At 38.6% G+C, this 22,144-nt stretch overlaps 1 protein-coding gene across 4 annotated transcripts in view; it reads left to right on the top strand.

The window, feature by feature from the left end:
• Nucleotides 1-22,144, top strand: part of CCDC73 (coiled-coil domain containing 73) — a 227,865-nt gene that overhangs the window by 201,930 nt on the left and 3,791 nt on the right. For all 4 annotated transcript variants that reach the window (XM_047427029.1, NM_001008391.4, XM_047427030.1 and 1 more), the window contains 3 exons: nt 12,527-12,716; nt 13,714-15,234; nt 17,391-17,524. In XM_047427029.1, the coding sequence (XP_047282985.1) occupies nt 12,527-12,716; nt 13,714-15,234; nt 17,391-17,524 (1,845 nt within the window). The remainder of the gene's footprint in view (nt 1-12,526; nt 12,717-13,713; nt 15,235-17,390; nt 17,525-22,144) is intronic.

Below are 22,144 nucleotides of genomic sequence, written 5' to 3'. Positions count from 1 at the left end.
TTTGAGGTTTATTTTTAAACTTATGGAAGCATCTAGAATAGCCCTAGAATGGCATGATCCTGCTGGGGTCTCTACAAAATGTCCCAGTTATTCAGTAAGTTCATTCCTCTCTGGCTTGTTGGAACTCAGAGTTTACCTAGACCTGTGGGAGCTCTGGAAATTGCTCAGCTTGTGGCGCCCCTGCAAGTCTTCATGGACTTTTACTACTCACATGTCCAACTTAATATCCAGCAACAGATTAAATAGCAGATGCCTGGAGCTCTTTTTCTGGGTAGCGCCTTCATCTTCAGTACATTGCCTCACAAATTACAGCCAGTTTAGCCTCTCTAAATTCCGATGTTTGTCTTCCCAACTCAGACCATCTTTTTTGCAAGAGTGCCCCTTCCTTGTGCTATGGTGTAGCAAGTGTCTAGGCAGTAAGCCTGAGTAATCATAGGGTTCATCTCACTTTTTCCTCTTTCTCTCAGAGAACGCAATTTTCCCTGTTTGTAGTTCATTGTCTAAAAACTGTTGTTTCATACACTGTATCTAGTTTACTAGTAATTTACAGTGGGAAGGCAAGTCAAGTTCTCTGGTATGGCTGGAAGTCTAAATTTTAAAGATCATACAATATACGTTCTAGGGAAGTATACTATTTTTAAAGAGCTCTGTAATTAGTCCTTAAAGCAGATATTTTTATTTTTTTATTATACTTTAATTTTTAGGGTATATGTGCACAACCTGCAGATTTGTTACATATGTATACATGTGCCATGTTGGTGTGCTGCACCCATTAACTCGTCATTTAACATTAGGTATATCTCCTAATGCTATCCCTCCCCGCTCCCCTCACCCCACAACAGGCCCCGGTGTGTGATGATTCCCTTCCTGTGTCCATGTGTTCTCATTGTTCAATTCCCACCTATGAGTGAGAACATGCGGTGTTTGGTTTTTTGTCCTTGCGATAGTTTGCTGAGAATGATGGTTTCCAGCTTCATCCGTGTTCCTACAAAGGACATGAACTCATCCTTTTTTATGGCTGCATAGTATTCCATGGTGTATATGTGCCACATTTTCTTAATCCAGTCTCTCATTGATGGACATTTGGGTTGGTTCCAAGTCTTTGCTATTGTAAATAGTGTCGCAATAAACATACGTGTGCATGTGTCTTTATAACAGCATGCTTTATAATCCTTTGGGTATATACCCAGTAATGGGATGGCTGGGTCAAATGGTATTTCTACTTCTAGATCCCTGAAGAATCGCCACACTGACTTCCACAGTGGTTGAACTAGTTTACAGTCCCACCAACAGCGTAAAAGTGTTCCTATTTCTCCACATCCTCTCCAGCACCTGTTGCTTCCTGACTTTTCAATGATCGCCATTCTAACTGGTGTGAGATGGTATCTCATTGTGGTTTTGATTTGCATTTCTCTGATGGCCAGTGATGATGAGAATTTTTTCATGTGTCTTTTGGTTGAATAAATATCTTCTTTTGAGAAGTGTCTGTTCATATCCTTCGCCCACTTGTTGATGGGGTTGTTTGTTTTTTTCTTGTAAATTTGTTTGTATTCTTTGTAGATTCTGGATATTAGCCCTTTGTCAGATGAGTAGAATGCAAAAATTTTCTTCCATTCTGTAGGTTGCCTGTTCACTCTGATGGTAGTTTCTTTTGCTGTGCAGAAGCTCTTTAATTAGATCCCATTTATCAATTTTGACTTTTGTTGCCATTGCTTTTGGTGTTTTAGACATGAAGTCCTTGCCCATGCCTATGTCCTGAATGGTATTGCCTAGGCTTTCTTCTAGAGTTTTTATGGTTTTAGGTCTAACATGTAAGTCTTTAATCCAGCTTGAATTAATTTTTGTATAAGGTGTAAGGAAGGGATCCAGTTTCAGCTTTCTACATGTGGCTAGCCAGTTTTCCCAGCACCATTTATTAAATAGGGAATCCTTTCCCCATTTCTTTTTGTCAGGTTTGTCAAAGATCAGATAGTTGTAGATATGTGGCATTATTTCTGAAGGCTCTGTTCTGTTCCATTGGTCTATATCTCTGTTTTGGTACCAGTACCATGCTGTTTTGGTTACTGTAGCCATGTAGTATAGTTTGAAGTCAGGTAGCGTGATGCCTCCACCTGTGTTCTTTTGGCTTAGGATTGACTTGGCAATGTGGGCTCTTTTTTGGTTCCATATGAACTTTAAAGTAGTTTTTTCCAATTCTGTGAAGAAAGTCATTGGTAGCTTGATGGGGATGGCATTGAATCTATAAATTACCTTGGGCAGTATGGCCATTTTCACGATATTGATTATTCCTACCCATGAGCATGGAATGTTCTTCCATTTGTTTGTATCCTCTTTTATTTCCTTGAGCAGTGGTTTGTAGTTCTCCTTGAAGAGGTCCTTCACGTCCCTTGTAAGTTGGATTCCTAGGTATTTTATTCTCTTTGAAGCAATTGTGAATGGGAGTTCACTTATGATTTGGCTCTCTGTCTGTTATTGGTGTATAAGAATGCTTGTGGGTTTTGCACATTGATTTTGTATCCTGAGACTTTGCTGAAGTTGCCTATCAGCTTAAGGAGATTTTGGGCTGAGACGATGGGGTTTTCTAGACATACAATCATGTCATCTGCAAACAGGGACAATTTGACTTCCTCTTTTCCTAATTGAATACCCTTTATTTCCTTCTCCTGCCTGACTGCCCTGGCCAGAACTTCCAACACTATGTTGAATAGGAACGGTGAGAGAGGGCATCCCTGTCTTGTGCCAGTTTTCAAAGGGAATGCTTCCAGTTTTTGCCCATTCAGTATGATATTGGCTGTGGGTTTGTCATAGATAGCTCTTATTAGTTTGAGATACGTCCCATCAATACCTAATTTATTGAGAGTTTTTAGCATGAAGGGCTGTTGAATTTTGTCAAAGGCCTTTTCTGCGTCTACTGAAATAATCATGTGTTTTTTGTCGTTGGTTCTGTTTATATGCTGGATTATGTTTATTGATTTGCATATGTTGAACCAGCCTTGCATCCCAGGGATGAAGCCCACTTGATCACTCTACAAGCCAGAAGAGAGTGGGGGCCAATATTCAACATTCTTAAAGAAAAGAATTTTCAACCCAGAATTTCATATCCAGCCAAACTAAGCTTCATAAGTGAAGGAGAAATAAAATCCTTTACAGACAAGCAAATGCTAAGAGATTTTGTCACCACCAGGCCTGCCCTATAAGAGCTCCTGAAGGAAGCACTAAACATGGAAAGGAACAACCAGTACCAGCCATTGCAAAAACATGCCAAATTGTAAAGACCATCGAGGCTAGGAAGAAACGGCATCAACTAACGAGCAAAATAACCAGCTAACATCATAATGACAGGATCAACTTCACACATGACAATATTAACCTTAAATGTAAATGGCCTAAATACTCCAATTAAAAGACACAGACTGGCAAATTGGATAAAGAGTCAAGATCCATTAATGTGCTGTATTCAGGAAACCCATCTGACGTGCAGAGACACACATAGGCTCAAAATAAAGGGATGGAGGAAGATCTACCAAGCCAATGGAAAACAAAAAAAGGCAGGGGTTGCAATCCTAGTCTCTGATAAAACAGACTTTAAACCAACAAAGATCAAAACAGACAAAGAAGGCCATTACATAATGGTAAAGGGATCAATTCAACAACACCTGTATCCAACTGTTCTCATTGTTTAATTCCCACCTATGAGTGAGAACGTGCGGTGTTTGGTTTTCTGTCCTTGTGACAGTTTGCTCAGAATGATGGTTTCCACCTTCATCCATGTCCCTACAAAGGACAAGAACTCCTCCTTTTTAATGGCTGCATAGTATTCCATGGTATATATGTGCCACATTTTCTTAATCCAGTCTGTCATCTGTCATTGATGGACATCTGGGTTTGTTCCAAGTCTTTGCTATTGTGAATAGTGCCACAACAAACATACGTGTGCACGTATCTTTATAGTAGCATGATTTATAATCCTTTGGGTATATACCTAGTAATGGAATTGCTGGGTCAAATGGTATTTCTAGTTCTAGATCCTTGAGGAATGGTAATTCTATATTTAACTTTTTGAGGAACTGCTAAAAAATTTTACTAAATAGTGGATATCTTTCTAAGTCCGTAAAAATAGATCTACATCACAATTTCCATTGTGTGACTAGGACGTGCCATAATTAATCTGTCCACTTCCCTATTGGGCATCCTTGTACAAATATCTTTGTGTATGTTTGTGACTATTTCTTTAGGATAAACTTCAAGAAATGGTATTGCTGGGTCAAAGAGCTTTCTCACTTATAATTTATTTATTTATTTATTTTTTTATTTTTTATTTGGAGATGGAGTCTTGCTCTCAGGCTGGAGTGTAACAGCATCATCTCGGCTTACTGCAACCTCCGCCTCCTGGGTTCAAGCAATTCTCCTGCCTCAGCCTCCCGGGTAGCTGGGACTACAGGCATGTGCCACCACACCTGGTTAATTTTTTTTTTTTTTGTATTTTAGTAGATATGGGGTTTCACCTTATTAGACAGGATGGTCTCGATCTCCTGACCTTGTGATCTGCCCACAGCCTCCCAAAATGCTGGGATTACAGACTTGAGCCACTGCGCCCGGCCCTCTCACTTATAATTTTTGACACATATTGTCAGATTGCTTTCCGGAAATGTTGTACCAGTTTATAGTCCTACCAGCCATGTATGAGTACCTGTCTTCTCTAGCCTTCTTAATACTTTGTCAGCTGTACTTTGCATTTTTGTTTTATTAAACATATTTTATATGTTTATCAGTTATATTCCTTTTGTTTTAGTTTATATATTCCCATTTGCAATTAAACATGCTTAAGCCCCTCCCATTTTAAAAAGTAAACAAATAACAAAAAAACTTTTTGATCTCACACCCATTTCCAAATACCCTAAGTAAAGTCTTCTTTGTAGAGCCAAGTTTCTTGAAAGATTGGTTTAAACTCATACTTTTTGCTTTCTTACTTCCCATTCATCCTTCAACATAGGGCAATCTGGGCTGGGCATGGTGGCTCATGCATGTAATTCCAGCACTTTTGGGGGCCAAGGCAGGTGAATTGCTTGAGTGCAGGAGTTCAAGACCTGTCTGGAGAACATAGTGAGACCCTTGTCTCTACAAAATTTTTTTAAAAATTAGCGGGGCATGGCGGTGCACACTGGTGGTCCCAGCTACTAGGGAGGTAAGAGGAGCACTTGAACCTGGGAAGCTGAGACTACCATGAGCCATGATCACACCAATGCACTCCAGTCTGGAGGACTGAGGGAGACCCTGTCACAAAACAAATAAACAAACAAAAACATAGGGCAGTCTGGCTTTGCCCCTCTGCTCCATAAAATGGATATTATGGCCAGGCATAGTGGCTCACGCCTGTAATCTCAGCACTTTGAAAGCTCGAGGCAGGTGGATCACAAGGTCAGGAGTTCAAGAGCAGCCTGGCCAACATGGTGAAACCCTGTCTCTACTAAAAATACAAAAATCAGCCACATGTGGGGGCATGCCTGTAATCCCAGCTACTCAGGAGGCTGAGGCAGGAGAATCACTTGAAACCGGAAGGCAGAGGTTACAATGAGCTGAGATCACACCACTGCACTCCAGCCTGGGTGAAAGAGCGAAACTCCATCTCAAAAAATAAAAATAAATTAAAAAATAAAATAAAATAAAATAAAATGGACATTACATCCATTCCCTTTGGATATTACACTTTTCAGTCCCTTTGAAGCATTTGATACTATTTCTTGCTTGAGTTATCTTTTCCTTTTCTTCTATTATATTTCGTTCATCTGATTTTTTTTCTTTACCTCTCAGGCCACTTTTTTTATGGTGGTAAGAATAATAACTATTATAATAGTTATACCATTAATTGAGCACCTATGCACTGTGTGTATTATATATATAATTTAATCTTTACACCATTCCCCCCCACCCCGCCCAAGTGAGCTGTGTCCTAGAGGTTCATTCTTTCTTTTTTTTTTTTTTCAATTTTATTTAAGTTCCATGATACATGTGGAGAATGTGCAGGTTTGTTACATAGTTATACGTGTGCCATGGTGGTTTGCTGCACCTATCAACACCTAGGTTTTAAGCCCCGCATGCATTAGCTATTTGTCCTGATGCTCTCCCTCCCCTTGCTGCCCCCCACCCGGACAGGCCCCAGTGTGTGTTGTTCCCCTTCCTGTGTCCATGTGTTCTCATTGTTCAACTCGCACTTATGAATAAGAACATGCGGTATTTGGTTTTCTGTTCCTGTGTTAGTTTGCTGAGGATGATGGCTTCTAGTTTCATCTATGTCCTTATAAAGGACATGATCTCATTCCTTTTTATGGCTGCATTGTATTACATGGTGTATATCCACCACATTTTCTTTATCCGGTCTATCATTGATGGACATTTGGACTGGTTCCGTGTCTTTGCTATTGCGAATAGTGCTGCAATAAACGTATGTGTGCATGTATCTTTATAACAGAATAACATATTCCTTTGTGTATATACCCAGTAATGGAATTGCTGAGTCAAATGGTATTTCTGGTTCTAGATCCTTGAGGAATCACCACACTGTCTTCCACAATGGTTGAACTAATTTACATTCCCACCAACAATGTAAAAGCATTCCTATTTCTCCACAGCCTCACCATCATCTGTTGTTTCTTGACTTCTTAATAATCACCATTCTGACTTGGCGTGAGATGGTATTCTCATTGTGGTTTTGATTTGCATTTCTCTAATGATCAGTGATGTTGAACTCTTTTTCATATGTTCATTGGCCCTGTAAATGTCTTCTTTTGAGAAGTGTCTGTTCATATCCTTTGCCCACTTTTTGATAGAGTTGTTTTTTTCTTGTAAATTTGTTTAAGTTCCCTGCAAATTCTGGATATTAGCCATTTGTCAGGTAGATAGATTGCAAAAATTTTCTCCCATTCCGTAGGTTGCCTGTTCACTCTGATGATAGTTTCTTTTGCTGTGCAGAAGCTCTTTAGTTTAATTAGATCCCATGGCTTTTGTTGCAGTTGCTTTTGGTGATTTCATCATAAAATCTTTGCCCATGCCTATGTCCTGAATGGTATTGGGTAGGTTTTCTTCTAGGGTTTTTATGGTTTTGGGTTTTGCACTTAAGTATTTAATCTATCTTGAATTAATTTTTGTATAAGGTGTAAGGAAGGGGTCCAGTTTCAGTTTTCTGCATATGGCCAGCCAGTTTTCCCAGCACCATTTATTAAATAGGGAATCTTTGCCCCATTGCTTGTTTTTGTCAGGTTTGTCGAAGATCAGGTGGTTGTAGACGTGTGGTCTTATTTCTGAGCTCTCTATTCTGTTTCATTGGTCTGTATGTCTGTTTTGGTACCAATACCAAGTTGTTTTGGTTACTGTTGCTTTGTAGTATAGTTTGAAGTCAGGTAGCATGATGCCTCCAGCTTTGTTCTTTTTGCTTAGGATTGTCTTGGCTATACTGGCTCTTTTTTGGTTCCATATGCATTTTAAAGTAGTTTTTTCAAATTCTGTGAAGAAAGTCAGTGGTAGTTTGATGGGAATAGCATTGAATCTATAAATTACTTTGGGCAGTATGGCCATTTTCACTATATTGATTCTTCCTATCCATGAGAATGGGATGTTTTCTGATTTGTTTGTGTCCTCTCTTATTTCCTTGAGCAGTGGTTTGTAGTTCTTGAAGAGTTCCTTCACGTCTCTTGTTAGCTGTATTCCTAGGTATTTTATTATCTTTGTAGCAATTGTGAATGGGAGTTCATTCATGTTTTGGCTCTCTGCTTGTCTATTGTTGGCATATAGGAATGCTGGTGTTTTTTGCACATTGATTTTGTCTTTATGGCATTTTTGTTATAGATGACAAAACAGCCTCACAAAGTTTAAATATTGTTGTAGGCAGCCTCTAAAATGGCCTAAAGTGATTCCCACCTCCTGTTACTCATTGCTCTTTTATAATCCCCTCCACTTGAGTGTGAGCTGGATTAATGACTTGGTTTTAATGAATGAAATATAACAGAAGTGATACAATGTCACTTCTTTTTTTTTTTTTTTTTTTTTTTGAGACTGAGTCTCGCTCTGTGGCCCAGGCTGGAGTGCAGTGGCGTGATCTTGGCTCACTGCAAGCTCCGCCTCCCAGGTTCCTGTCATTCTCCTGCCTCAGCCTCCCAAGTAGGTGGGACTACAGGCATCCGCCACCACGCCTGGCTAATTTTTTTTGTATTTTTAGTAGAAACGGGGTTTCACCTTGTTAGCCAGGTGATACAATGTCACTTCTGAGATTACATTATAAGAAAACTGTGGTTTCTGTCTTGGGTGCATGTGTGTTTATCCTTCTCCCACCCTCTCAACCATAATGAAAAGAAGTCTAAGCTATCCTGTGAAGAGAGGTCCTGGATAATAAAGACCACCTGGAAGAGAATTTAGGCACCCCAGCCAACAGCTGCCACCAACTGCCAGCAATATGAGTGAGACTCTTCCAGCAACAATTAAGGCTTCACATGATGGAGCTGTAGATGATAGCTTGATTGGAACCTCAAAAGAGATGCTGAGTCAGAACCATCAAGCCAACCACTCCTGAATTCCTGACCCATTGAAACTGTGGGATGTTTGCTGTTGTAAATCACTGACTTTTACTGTTTCTCTCAATCTGTTTTACAATTTTCTCTCTCTTTGCCTCTCCCTTGGAGATTTTCATCGGCATTTTATCCTTTATTTTCTTTTCCTCTCAAAATACACTCTCTGTAAGCAGTGTATTTCTTCTCCTCCCCTTCCCCTCCCTCCCTTCCCCTCCCCCTCCTCCTTCTCCTTCCCTTCTACTTTTCCTCCTCTTCCTCATTCTTCTTCTCCTTCTCCTTCTTCACCTCCTCCTTTTCCTCCTGCTTCTTCTGCTTCTTCTGCTCCTTCTTCATCTCCTCCTCCTCCTTCTGCTCCTTCTTCATCTCCTCCTTCTCCTCCTCTTCCTCATTCTCCTCCTTTCTTATTCCTTCTCCTTCTTTCTTCAACAGGGTCTCCCTCTGTCACCCAGGCTGGAGTGCAGTGGCACAATCATAGCTCACTGCAGCCTCAAACTCCTGAGCTTAACCACTCCTCCTGCCCCCGCTTCCCAAGTAGTTAGGACTACAGGTGTGTGCCACCGCACCCAGCTAATTTTTAAAAATATTTCATAGAGATGGGGTCTTGTTATGTGGCCTAAGCTGGTCTCAAACTCCTGGCCTCAAGTAGTCCTCTCATCTCAGCCTCCCAAAACACTGGGATTACAGGCATGAGCCATTTCACCCAGTCCAACTTGTATATTTTTGGTTGTCATCTATCTGCCGATGATTTTCAAATCTACATTTATAGCATTTATTAGGCCAATTTTCCCATACATCTAAATGTGCATTAGAATACTAAAAGAAAACTCAGCAAACACCATTCTGGATATTGGCCTTGGGAAAGAATTTATGACTAAGTTCTCAAAAGCAACTGCAACAAAAACAAAAATTGACAAGTCGAGCACAATTAAACTAAAGAGCTTCTGCACAGTAAAAAAACAAAACTATCAACAGAGTAAATAGACAACCCATGCAAACAATGTATCTGACAAAGGTCTAATATCCAGAATCTATAAGGATCTTAAACAAATGAACAAGCAATAAACAAATAACCTATTTAAAAAGTGGACAAAAGACATGAACAGACACCTCTCAAAAGAAGACATATGAGCAGCCAACAAACATGAAAAAATGTTCAACATCACTAATCATCAGAGAAATGCAAATCAACACCACAAAGAGATAACATCTCACACCAGTCGGAATGACTATTAAAAAAAGAAGAGGCTGGGCACGGTGGCTCATGCCTGTAATCCCAGCACATTGGGAGGCCAAGACGAGTAGATCACCTGAGGTCAGGAGTTCAAGACCAGGCTGGCCAACATAGCAAAACCCCATCTCTACTAAAAGTAAAAAATTATCTGGGCACAGCAGCACATTCCTGTACTCCCAACTGCTTGGGAGGCTGAGGCAGGAGAATTGCTTGAACCCAGGAGGCGGAGGTTGCAGTGAGCTGAGATTGCATCACTGCACTCCAGCCTGGGCGATAAAGTGAGACTTTGTCTCAAAAAAATAATAATAAATAAAAAATAAGGTCAAAAACAACAGATGCCAACGAGGCTGCAGAGAAAAGGGAAAACTTATATGCTGTTGGTGGGAATGTAAATTAGTTCAGCCACTGTGGAAAGATTGCTCAAAGAACTTCAAACAGAACTACAATTTGACCCAGCAAAACTATTACCAGGTATATAGCCAAAAGAAAATAAATCGCTCTACCAAAAAGACACATGTACTTTTATGTTCATTGCAGCACTGTTCACAATAGCAAAGACCATGGAATCAACTTAGGTGCCCATCAACAGTGGATTGGATAAAGAAAATGTGGTACATATACACCATGGAATACTACACAGCCATAAAAAAGAATACAGTCATGTCCTTTGCAGCAACATGGATGAAGCTGGAGGCCATTATCCTAAGCAAATTAACATAGGAACAGAAAACCAAAGACCAATTTTCTTATAAGTTGGAACTAAACATTGGGTACTCATGAACATAAAGATAGCAACAATAGATCCTGGGGACTACTAGAAGAGGTAGGGAGGGAAGAAGACAACAGTTGAAAAACTATTGATTACTATGCCCACTACCTGAGTGATGGGATCAGTCATACCCCAAAGCTCAGCATCATGCAATATAGCCATGTAACCAACCTGCACATGTATACCCTTAATCTAAAATAAAAGTTGGAATTATTTAAAAGACAAAAGTAATAAATAAATACAGGTTCATTAGATATTGCCACTTTAATGTATTACTAACTCTTCATACTCAGTAAGTTCAAACTGAACTCATGATATTTTCGTCCAAATCTACTACTACTCCTGTTTTCTCGCTCAAGGAATGACATCCACCAGTCATCTACTTACCTAATCTGAACTACGGAAGTCAATCTTGACTCACCTTCTCCCTCAGCCTTCACATCCAATCATTGACCAAGTCCAATTAACTTTAGTTCCATACATCACCAATGGGTTCACAGCTCTTCATCTTTACTGATATCACCTGGACTGCTGCAGCACTCTCCTGATGTATCACTCTGCCCCGTGTGTTCTCTCCCTTTAATTTAGTGTTTTTCAGACTTCTAGGTGCAACTTATCAGTGGTTCATGGAAATTAGTTTGGTGGGTTGTGACCAGAATTCTTTTTAAAATGAAATGAAATAGCATAGAAAACATTAGAGTGTATAATAGTAGGTACTGTTTGATGTGCCTATTGAGTTATAAAACATATTTCTCATTGCTGGTTTCCATCAATGAAGTTTCAAAAATGTTAGTCCATTTTTTTTGTACTGTAGCCAAAATGGTCTTTCCAGTCAGATCACATTATTCATTCCTTGTTTAAAACCCTTCAGTGACTTCTCAGTGTCTTCCTGGTAGAGTTGAAACTCCTTAACATGCCAATGTTAGGCCCTTAATGACCTCGGCCCAGCTTACCTCAAGCCTCATTTATCTTCATTCTTCTCCCTACATGTAAGCTCTAGCCAAACGAAATCACTCATAGTTCCATAAATATACTCTTAATCTTGCTTGCTCTTAAGTATCGCTATATGCCATTTATTCTTTCTGGAGTGCCTCCTTATCCCCATCTATGACTCCATATCATACTTCACGTATGTTTAGCTAACACCTTCTCCAAGAAACCTTCCTTGACTCCCAAAAGCAGGGACAGGACTATTCCTGCATGTGCCCATAGTAACCTGCATTTATCCATATCAGAGCACTTACCACATCCTATTAAAGTTGCCTGTTACTTATTTTCTTATCTTCATACCAGACTGTAAGTTTTTTGAGGACAGGGACTGTATTTTGTTCATCATTGTATCCCAAAGCCTAGTACAGTGCTTCACATGTAACATGTGCTCAATATATAGGGGAAGAAAAAGCATGTTGGACTGATTCACTGTTTTAAGGATACATAAAAATACTGCTTCACCTGGCATGGTGGTGAGCACCTGTAGTCCCAGTTACTTAGGAGGCTGAGGCAGGAGGATAGTGTGGGCCCAGAATTTTGAGGCTTGTCGTGCACTATGATCGCACCTGTGAATAGCCACTGCACTCCAGCCTGGGCAACATAGCAAGAACTCATCTCTTAAAAAAATAAACTACTGCTCAAAACAATTTGCCTGCCATGTCTATCTTGTTTTTAGTAATGGGGTGGTTCTTCTATTACATATAATGTGGTATTATATAATAATGTGGTATGCATGTTTGAAAATGTATAAAGATCTCCATTTTGCTTAAATATGATAGACTATATAAAATGAATGTAAAGTGATATCGTTATAAAGAGTATGGTATATTAAACTTACTAAAAAATCATTTGACTTTCAAATAGAAATTGCTGAATGGTTGAACTGAAACACAGATTCCACATTTATCACATTTGCTCAAATGTTTTATACTTGTAGGCAATGTTTTTAAAAGAATCTCTTCCATTTTACACTAGAATGTTCCAGAAGTAAATAATGAAAACAGTGAAATGTCAACTGAAAAATCAGAAAACACCATTATACAGAAATATAATACTGAGCAAGAAATAAGGGAAGAAAATATGGAGAATTTTTGTTCAGATACTGAATACAGAGAAAAAGAAGAAAAAAAAGAAGGCTCATTTATAGAGGAAATAATTATAGATGGTAACCTTAAAATTATATTGATATTTTCTAATTTGTATGTTGATATTTACAGTAAATATTTTTGGGAAAATTACATTCTGCCTCCCCTCTTCATGACTTATTCCTAGTCTTTTTGGATTCTGGTTTCTGCCTTCACTGTTTTGCTGAGAATGTTCTTGGAGTCACCAGTAACCTTCTGATGACCAGACCTAGGGCATTTTTCTTAATTCAGATAACCTTTCTGTAACCATTGGAATAATTTATTAATTCTTCCATCTTGAAAAAGTGTTGTTTAAAGCTGATACTGATTGGAGGTGTTCAAACTCAGGCTGAACAACCACTTGGTGGAGATGTTGTAGAGAGAATGACTGGACTTCTAAAAAGTCCTTCAAAAACCTGAAATTTATATTCTAGGTTAACTATACTAAAAAGTTGAAATCTTTGTTAGAATATAGATGAATAAAATTAATGTCTTGATTAAGTAGATATTCTATATACTTGTCCAAAACTATTCAAGAATTTAAAAATATTCACTGGGTAATGAATAAAAGTGATGATTGTCAGTCCTGAAGAAGCCAGCTAGCAATTTCTAGATACTGCTGGACCTAGGTAGTAATAGAAATTACAGCATAATCTGTTAGGATAAATTAATTTTTATCAGCTATGTATTTATGTGGAATTGTACTAAGTGTCCTAAATGAAGCAAATAGACTAGAAAAATAAACCATTTTTTAATACCTCAACTTACTTTCCGTTTACAAAACCAAAAATACTTTGCTATTATGAAATTAAAGTTTAATATGGGTAAAGCCAAATATTTAGCATGCTAAAGATATATTTGATACAATAAAGGGAACCCAGTATTTAGGTAATATTGATGTCATTAAGTTTGTATAATTATTGACCCATAAAATATTTAAGGTTAAATATGTTTTTATAAAAATAGGTGATAAATATGTCTTATGAAATCAGCCTTTAGTGTATAATATAAAATTTTACTGTGTTCCCATCATGACAGATTTACAGCTTTTTGAAAAAAGCTTCAAGAATGAAATTGATACTGTTGTTTCTCAGGATGAAAATCAAAGTGAAATCTCCTTAAGCAAAACCCTCTCCTTAGATAAAGAAGTAATTAGTCAAGGACAAACCTCGAATGTTACGGACAACAGAAAATCAGTTACTACAGAAATAAAAGACAAGATATGCTTGGAAAAAGACAATGGATGTACAGAATTTAAATCACCAAATAATCATTTTGTAGTGTTAGATACAGCAATAGAAACAGAAAAAATACATCTAGAAAGAACCAGAGGATTAGATGTTCACCATACAGATGTAAATCTGGAGGTTGAAAATAACAAAACATCATTTAACAGTATTTTAAATGAGACAGCACACAATACATATCACAATAATAATAAAGATGTTTCTGAAAATGAGCCATTCAAACAATTCAGATTGCTTCCAGGGACTCGAGAACATGCTCTAGAGAAGGAAATTACAAATAGTGACCAAACCAAAGCAGATTTGGACTCGTCTCTAGATATAAAAAAAAATCCTGTTCCATGTCAGAAATATAGTTTACGGAATTCAAGTAATGTTATGTTAGATGATAAACAATGTAAAATAAAACAAATACAACTGTTAACTAAAAAAAGTGAGTGCAGCATATTACTTTCTAAACAAACTTCAGATTTTCTGCAAGTCTGTAATGATACTTTAGAGAAATCTGAACTAACTGTTCCCTGTGATATAGTAATCGACCACCATGTTTCATATGCTGCTTTTAGTGCTAATTCAAAACTACTTCTGAAGAACTCAGATAAAAATGTCCATAGTATGTCTATGTTGGTGAAACCTAACTCAAGCCCTGGGGGAAAAACTATGTGTAAAAATATGAGTGATATGCAAAACAGTCAATTTAATAACTGTTTGGGATACTTAGAAAACACTAATGTGAACATTTCCCATCTTCATCTTAACAATGAGAATAGTCATGCTTCACAAGCCAAAGATGTGAAAACTGCTGTTCACATGAAAACTTGCACAGAAACAGAGTTTTCCAATAAAAAGAATCAGATTGATGAGAATCAGGTAACTGAAGCCACAAAAAATGACCTCTTCCTTTTTGTGAGCATTAATGAAAGACAGCATACATTGTTAAATAATACAGAGAAAACAGAATCATTAAATGACATTGTTTCAGGAAAAATGTTCAGTGAAGGACAGCTGGAGGAATCACATTCATTTCACATAGAGCCATCTGGAGATTTAGTAAACAGAAGCGGAAGGTCAACCTTTGATCTTTCAACTTCAGATAAAAAAACTGAGAAAACTCCAGTATACATGAATTTTTCAGACCCCGGTCCTTGGTCAAAAGTAAATCACATTGAAAGTCAAACAGCGAGCAGTTCGACCCCTTGCATTTCTTTGTTGCTGAAGGAGAGACCACTAGATCCATCAGAAAACAAAAAGATCATTTCAATGGCTCTTTGTAAAAATATTGGTGTGGATGATGTTGGAAAGGATATTGGACCAGGTAAGAAAACAAAGTAATGTTTTAATTCTCAAAATATTTTTCTACTTATTCTTGATAAATGTGTACAGTCATATTTTGTAAATTTTGTTTTAAAAGTTCGTCTTATTTTAAATTAGGAACAACTTAATATTCTTTTGTTTTTAACTTTTAGAGCAAATACAGTGAAGTAGTTAAGGCTTCTGCCAAGTGTGAATATTTATTGCTCTTCTTTCTATATGCTCTTCATTCATCCTTAAAAACTTCCTTCCCTTAGAACATTTTAGTTTCTCTCCTATGTTGTCTTTCTTTGCCCAATTTTCTCTCCCTTTCCTTAATTTTTCTATTTTTATCTGTCCCTTCACCCACACCAGAAATCCGGCTCTTCCTTCTGTTTTATAAGTAATAATGAGGCATAACATTAATATATTTCCTATGACCAGTATTTGTCAGTTGAAAACACTTTAAATTGAATCCCTTAACATATATTCATGCATTCAGATGTTAAAGAGAATAGAGAGATTGTTCTGTCTTAAAAACTGCCATATGAAATGGCATAATGTCCAAGTTTTATTTTAAAATACTCCAGAAAAAATGGGGGGAGAGGTAAATGGATGAAATACATATGACTTAATATTGATGGGTATCGAAGTACATGGCTGTCTATGTTTTTGTTTTGTTTTTTGCTTTATTTATTTATTATTTTTTTGAGATAGAGTCTTGCTCTGTCACCCAGCCTGGAGTGCAGTGGTGTGATCATAGCTCACTGCAACTTTAACCTCCCAGGCTGAAGGAATCCTCCCACCTCAGCCTCCTGAGCAGCTGGGAGTACAGACATGTCACTGCACCCAGCTAAGTTTTAAAATTTTTTGTAGAGACAGGTCTCACTTTGTTGCCGAGGCTGGTGTTGAACTTCTGGGCTCAAGTGATCCTCCTGCCTCAGCTTCCCAAATTGCTGGGAGCCACCACACCCGGCCTGAAAATTTTTCACAGTATTTAAAAATAAAAACATACTAGATTATCATGAATTGGTGCTGTATAAATATAAATTGAAAATAAAAAGCAGTATTTAAGAAGTATGATCATGAGGAAAATGGTTTTTTAATTGTTTTTATTTTTGGGACAGCATGTTTTCTTTTAATAGCAATCTCATAGTCAAAAGTTGCTAAGGTTGTTAAAGGCATTCTTATATTTTAAGGGAACTTTGTGGGTTTAACATTGTGCACTTAGACACCTTAAAAAGATGCAGATTCCAAGGATAGCTTTTATATGGCCCTCAGATTTAACAGGCTTCTTTTAAAAAGGAAATTGAGAAAAATTTAAAGAGACTATTTGGTGATTAAAAACAAAAACATATCTTGTTTACTACTACCAATGGGAAATAATGTAGGCGAAAATCAAATAACCAAAACACTGTATAACCTCATTTCCCAAACTGCAATTTTTCAAGGTCACAAAATATATTACTTAAGATTCCATTAACTTTTAATTAGGTATTGCTTTAGGTGCTGGTCTAAAAATCTACCATTTTTTTTGAAGTCCTTTCTTGTAATTAAATTTCAGTGATATATAAGATACAAAGGGTGATATCTAAAATTCTGTAGAAATTCAACTTGTAAAATACTCTTAAATATGCCATCAGTATCTTTTAACCTTCATAATTTACATACTTCTCTAACTCATTTCTATCAATTTATTAAAGCCCAATGTGACCCCTTCTAAACAGCCCTTTGTTGGACTTCTCACTGTGGCCAATTTCTTTAAATAGTTTATAAATCTGGTATGTAGTTGGTTCTGACTTTTTCCATTAATCTGAGTTGGTAAAATATTCACTATACAAATGCTTACATGTGTGGGAAATACAGTAACCAGGGGAATAATGATAACATTTTATGAGTTATTTTGTTTTAGAAGGTATTTATACCATTTCTTTCACTGCTTTTAATGTGGAATTACAGTAATCAGGTTTTAGAAAGTAGCAATAATAAAATCTTGTTTGTTTTCAGAAATGAAATGCCTAATTTAAGAGCAAAGTCTAGGACAACTGCAAAATATTCAACATTAAAATAGAAATTTGTTGCTTTTTAAATACAAAAGCATAGGATCAGAAACAAGTTCAGTCACTAAAATGAGTACCTAGAGAAAAATTCAGTTGTTGCCATTTCCTCTTTATCAATCAGATACTACCAGCATTAACAGAGTTGCTGACACTTTGAATAACTGGAGTATCCATCCAGATCCCAAGGGAGAACCCAGTGAAGAGAAGAATGCAATGGCAAAGACTTTTTATGATTCCTCTTTTCCCACAGAACATGTAAGTCAATTAAAAATATTGCCGAGCAGACCTTAGTGAGCTAATTCTACAGATATGTGTAGAACTGTACGCATCTGGATGCTTTAAGACCTAACTGATCTCCAAAATAATATCAAGAGGGCAACATGGCACCATTTTTCACAATTAAGGTTGATAGAAAACAGCAGGAAAAAGTCACAGTGTATAAATCAAATAGATACAATCCAGCCTGTTTGGGGAAGGAGAGTGTGAGGCATCGGATATGTACTTCTATTTCTTACTCATCTAAATTTGGAAATAGTGGTATTTGAGCATTTAAAATTTTATGTTAATAAAAGGTTATGTCTAAAAGTAAGCTAATCAAGTCCAATTGTTTTTAATAATCCTTAAGTAAATTCACATTATTTTTGGAAACTGAGATGGAAAGAATTTAAAACTATTTCAATTAGAACACGTGTGAAAGGATCAAGTATCCATGTGATACTGTATGGATATATGTATTAAAGTATTTGTAGAAATTATATGGCTTCCAGGAGTCTATTTGTCATATAGAAAGCAACTAACTATAGCAGGAAGGTTATCTGGTTAAATGTGTAAGTTTTATATCATAGTGTATAGAACTTTAAGCAAGAAAAAGGTTGTAGTGTTCAAACTATTAAACAACTTTCTCTTTAGCATATACAAAATGAATATTATAGTACTAACACATCCTTAACAAATAACAGCTTTTAACAATGTATTTTATTTTCCTTTCTAAATAGGAGAAACCTCAAGTGAGATAGTATAACTCTTCTGGGAGAGTTGAGACAAAAATCAGGAACTATCCTTGATATGGTTTGGCTTTGTCCCCACCCAAATCACATTTTGAATTGTCACTCCCACAGTTCCCATGTGTCATGGGAGGGACCCAGTGGGAGGTAATTGAATCATGGGGGCGGGTCTTTCCTGTGCTATTCTCATGACAGTGAATAAATCCCACAAGATCTGATGGTTTTAAAAATGGGAGTTTCCCTGCACAAGCTCTCTTCTCTCTTGCTGCCGCCATGTAAGAACTGCCTTTTGCCGGCCGGGTGCAGTGGCTCATGCCTGTAATCCCAGCACTTTGGGAGGCTGAGGTGGGCGGATCATGAGGTCAGGAGATCGAGACCATCCTGGCTGACATGGTGAAACCCTGTCTCTACTAAAAATACAAAAAAAAAAAAAAAATTAGCTGGGCTTGGTGACAGGCACCTGTAGTCCCACCTACTCGGAAGGCTGAGGCAGGAGAATGGCGTGAACCCAGGAGGTGGAGCTTGCAGTGAGCCGAGATCACGCCACTGCACTCCAGCCTGGATGACAGAGCGAGACTCCATCTCAAAAAAATAAAAAAAATTGCCTTTGCCTTCCACCATGATTATGAGGCCTCCCCAGCCACATGGAACTGTAAATCCATTAAACCTGTTTTTCTTCCCAGTCTTGGGTATGTCTTTATTAGCAGTGTGAAAATAAACTAATACAGTAAATTGGTACCAGGAGCAGAGTGTTGCTGAAAAGATACCCGAAAATGTGGAAGCAACTTTGGAACTGGGTAACAGGCCAAGGTTGGAACAGTTTGGAGGGCTCAGAAGACAGGAAAATGTGGGAAAATTTGGAACTCCCTAGAGACTTGTTGAATGGCTTTGACCAAAATGTTGACAATGATATGGACGATGAAATCCAGTCTGAGGTAATCTCAGATGGAAATGAGGAATTTGTTGAGAAATGGAGCAAAGGTGACTTGTTATGTTTTGGTAAAGAAATTGGTAGCATTTTGCCCCTGTCCTAGAGATTTGTGGAACTTTGAACTTGAGAGAGATGATTTAGGGTATCTGGCAGAAGAAATTTCTAAGCAGCAAAGCATTCAAGAGGTGACTTGGGCGCTGTTAAAGGCATTCAGTTTTATAAGGGAAACAGCATAAAAGTTTGGAAAATTTGCAGCCTGAACAATATGATAGAAAAGAAAATCCCATTTTCTGAGGAGAAATTCAAGCTGGCTGTGAAATATGCATAAGTAACAAGGAGCTGAATGTTAATCTCCAAGACAATGGGGAAAATGTCTCCAGGGCAAGTCAGAGGTCTTCACGGCAGCCCTTCCCATCACAAACCCAGAAGCCTATGAGGAAAAAATGGTTTTGTGGGCGGGGCTCAGGGTCCCCGTGCTGTGTGCAGCTTAGGGATTTGGTGCCCTGCATCCCAGCCACTCCAGCCATGATTAAAAGGAGCCAAGTCACAGCTTGGGCCATTGCTTCAGAGGGTACAAGCCCCAAGCCTTGGCAGCTTCCATGTGGTGTTGAACCTGCGAGTACACAGAAGTCAAGAATTGAGGTTTGGGAATCTCTTCCTAGATTTCAAAGGATGTATGGAAATGCCTGGATGTCCAGGCAGAAGTTTGCTGCAGGGGCGGGACTCTCATGGAGAACCTCTGCTAGGGCAATGTGGAAGAGAAATGTGGGGTCAGAGCCCCCATATAGAGTCCCTACTGGGGTGCTGGCTAGTGGAGCTATGAGAAGAGGGCCACCATCCTCTAGACCCCATAATGGTAGATCCACCAACAGCTTGCACTATGTATCTGGAAAAGCCACAGACACTCAATGTCAGCCCGTGAAAGTGGCCAGGAGGGAGGCTGTACCCTGCAAAGCCACAGGGGTGTGGAGCTGCCCAAGGCCATAAGAACCCACCTCTTGCATTAGCGTGACCTGGCAGCCATGCTGGATTTTGGACTTTCACAGGGCCTGTAGACCCTTTGTTTTGGCCAATTTCTCCCATTTGGAACAGCTGTGTTTACCCAATGCCTGTACCCCACCCCTCCTTGTATCTAGGAAGTAACTGACTTGCTTTTGATTTTACTGGCTTATAGGTGGAAGGGACTTGCCTTGTCTCAGATGAGACTTTGGACTTTTGAGTTAATGCTGAAGTAAGACTTTGGGGGAGTGTTGGGAAGGCATGATTGGTTTTGAAATGTGAGGATATGAGATTTGGGAGGGGCCAGGGGCAGAATGATATGGTTTGGCTGTGTCCCCACCCAAATCTCATCTTGAATTACAATTGGTCTCACAATTCCCACGTGTTGTGGGAGGAACCTGGTGGGAGGTAATAGAATCGTGGGGGGGGCCGGTCTTTCCTATGCTGTTCTTGTGATAGTGAAATATTCTTGTGATAGTGAATAAGTCTCATGAGATCAGATGGCTTTAAAAGTGGGAGTTGCCCTGCACAAGCTCTCTTTTGCTGCCACCATGTAAGAATTGCCTTTCGCCTTCTGCCATGATTATGAGGCCTCCCCAGTCATGTGAAACTGTAAGTCCGTTAAACCTATCTTTTTTTTTCCAGTCTCCAGTATCTTTATTAGCGGCGTGAGAACGGACTAATACACCCTTTTCACTCTTTCCTAATTGAGCTCATAAGCAACAGTATAGTTTCCACTTGGTGTATGTGTGTATCATTAAAATATGGTGACTAAAGGGCAGTAACTCTGGCATTGGAAAATCTAAGTCTTAACCTTGCCCAATTGGGTAAGTCATAGAATCAAAACAAACATGAAGCTTGAGGGCATCAAAGCTAAACATCCATTTCTAATTAGGGTGAATCCTTAACCCTTATAAGATAGCTGTTCTACTTTCAAACAGTGGAAATTTCACATCTCACTTGAAAGCCCATTTTTATAATTAATCTAATAGGGGAGTTCTTTTTGTCTAATTCCTAATGTTCTATCTGCAACTAATGTTGCTTTTAAGAATTTATTTTTGGGCCGGGCGCGGTGGCTCACGCCTGTAATCCCAGCACTTTGGGAGGCCGAGGCGGGCGGATCACGAGGTCAGGAGATCGAGACCATCCCGGCTAAAACGGTGAAACCCCGTCTCTACTAAAAATACAAAAAATTAGCCGGGCGTAGTGGCGGGCGCCTGTAGTCCCAGCTACTTGGGAGGCTGAGGCAGGAGAATGGCGTGAACCCGGGAGGCGGAGCTTGCAGTGAGCCGAGATCCCGCCACTGCACTCCAGCCTGGGCGACAGAGCGAGACTCCGTCTCAAAAAAAAAAAAAAAAAAAAAAAAAAAAAATTTATTTTTGGCTGGGCGTGGTGGGCTCAAGCCTGTAATCCCAGCACTTTGGCCAAGGTGGGCGGATCACAAGGTCAGGAGTTTGAGACCAGCCTGGCCAATATGGTGAAACCAGGTCTCTACTAAAAATACAAAAACTGTCCGGGTGTGGTGGCAGGCACCTGTAGTCCCAGCTACTCGGGAGGCTGAAGTTGCAGTGAGCCGATTGTGCCACTGCACTCCAGCCTGGGTGACAGAGTGAGACAGTGTCTCAAAAAAAAAAAAAAAAAAAAAAGAATTTATTTTTATAGAATTTTTAACTTTTTCATTGGCAAGGTAATTTTTTTTACAGATGAAACAGTGACATAAATGTGAAATAACTTTCCAGGGTCATTAAGACACAATATGTGGTGGACCTAGGCTAGATATTGTGGCTCTTAGTCAAATGCTATATTATACTTTCTTAACTTTCACAATAGAAAAAATGTTTCTTCTGAAAGATTGATGCATATAAAACAAACTCAATTCACTGGCTGAATAGACATTTTCTAAGTGCTTATTACTATGTGCCAAGTACTATGGTAAGCTTC

This window comes from Homo sapiens, chromosome 11 (genome assembly GCF_000001405.40).
Source record: "Homo sapiens chromosome 11, GRCh38.p14 Primary Assembly".
Classification (NCBI taxonomy): domain Eukaryota; kingdom Metazoa; phylum Chordata; class Mammalia; order Primates; family Hominidae; genus Homo; species Homo sapiens.
The sequence above is the reverse complement of the archived record's forward strand: the minus strand, read 5'-3'. Positions and strand labels throughout refer to the sequence as shown.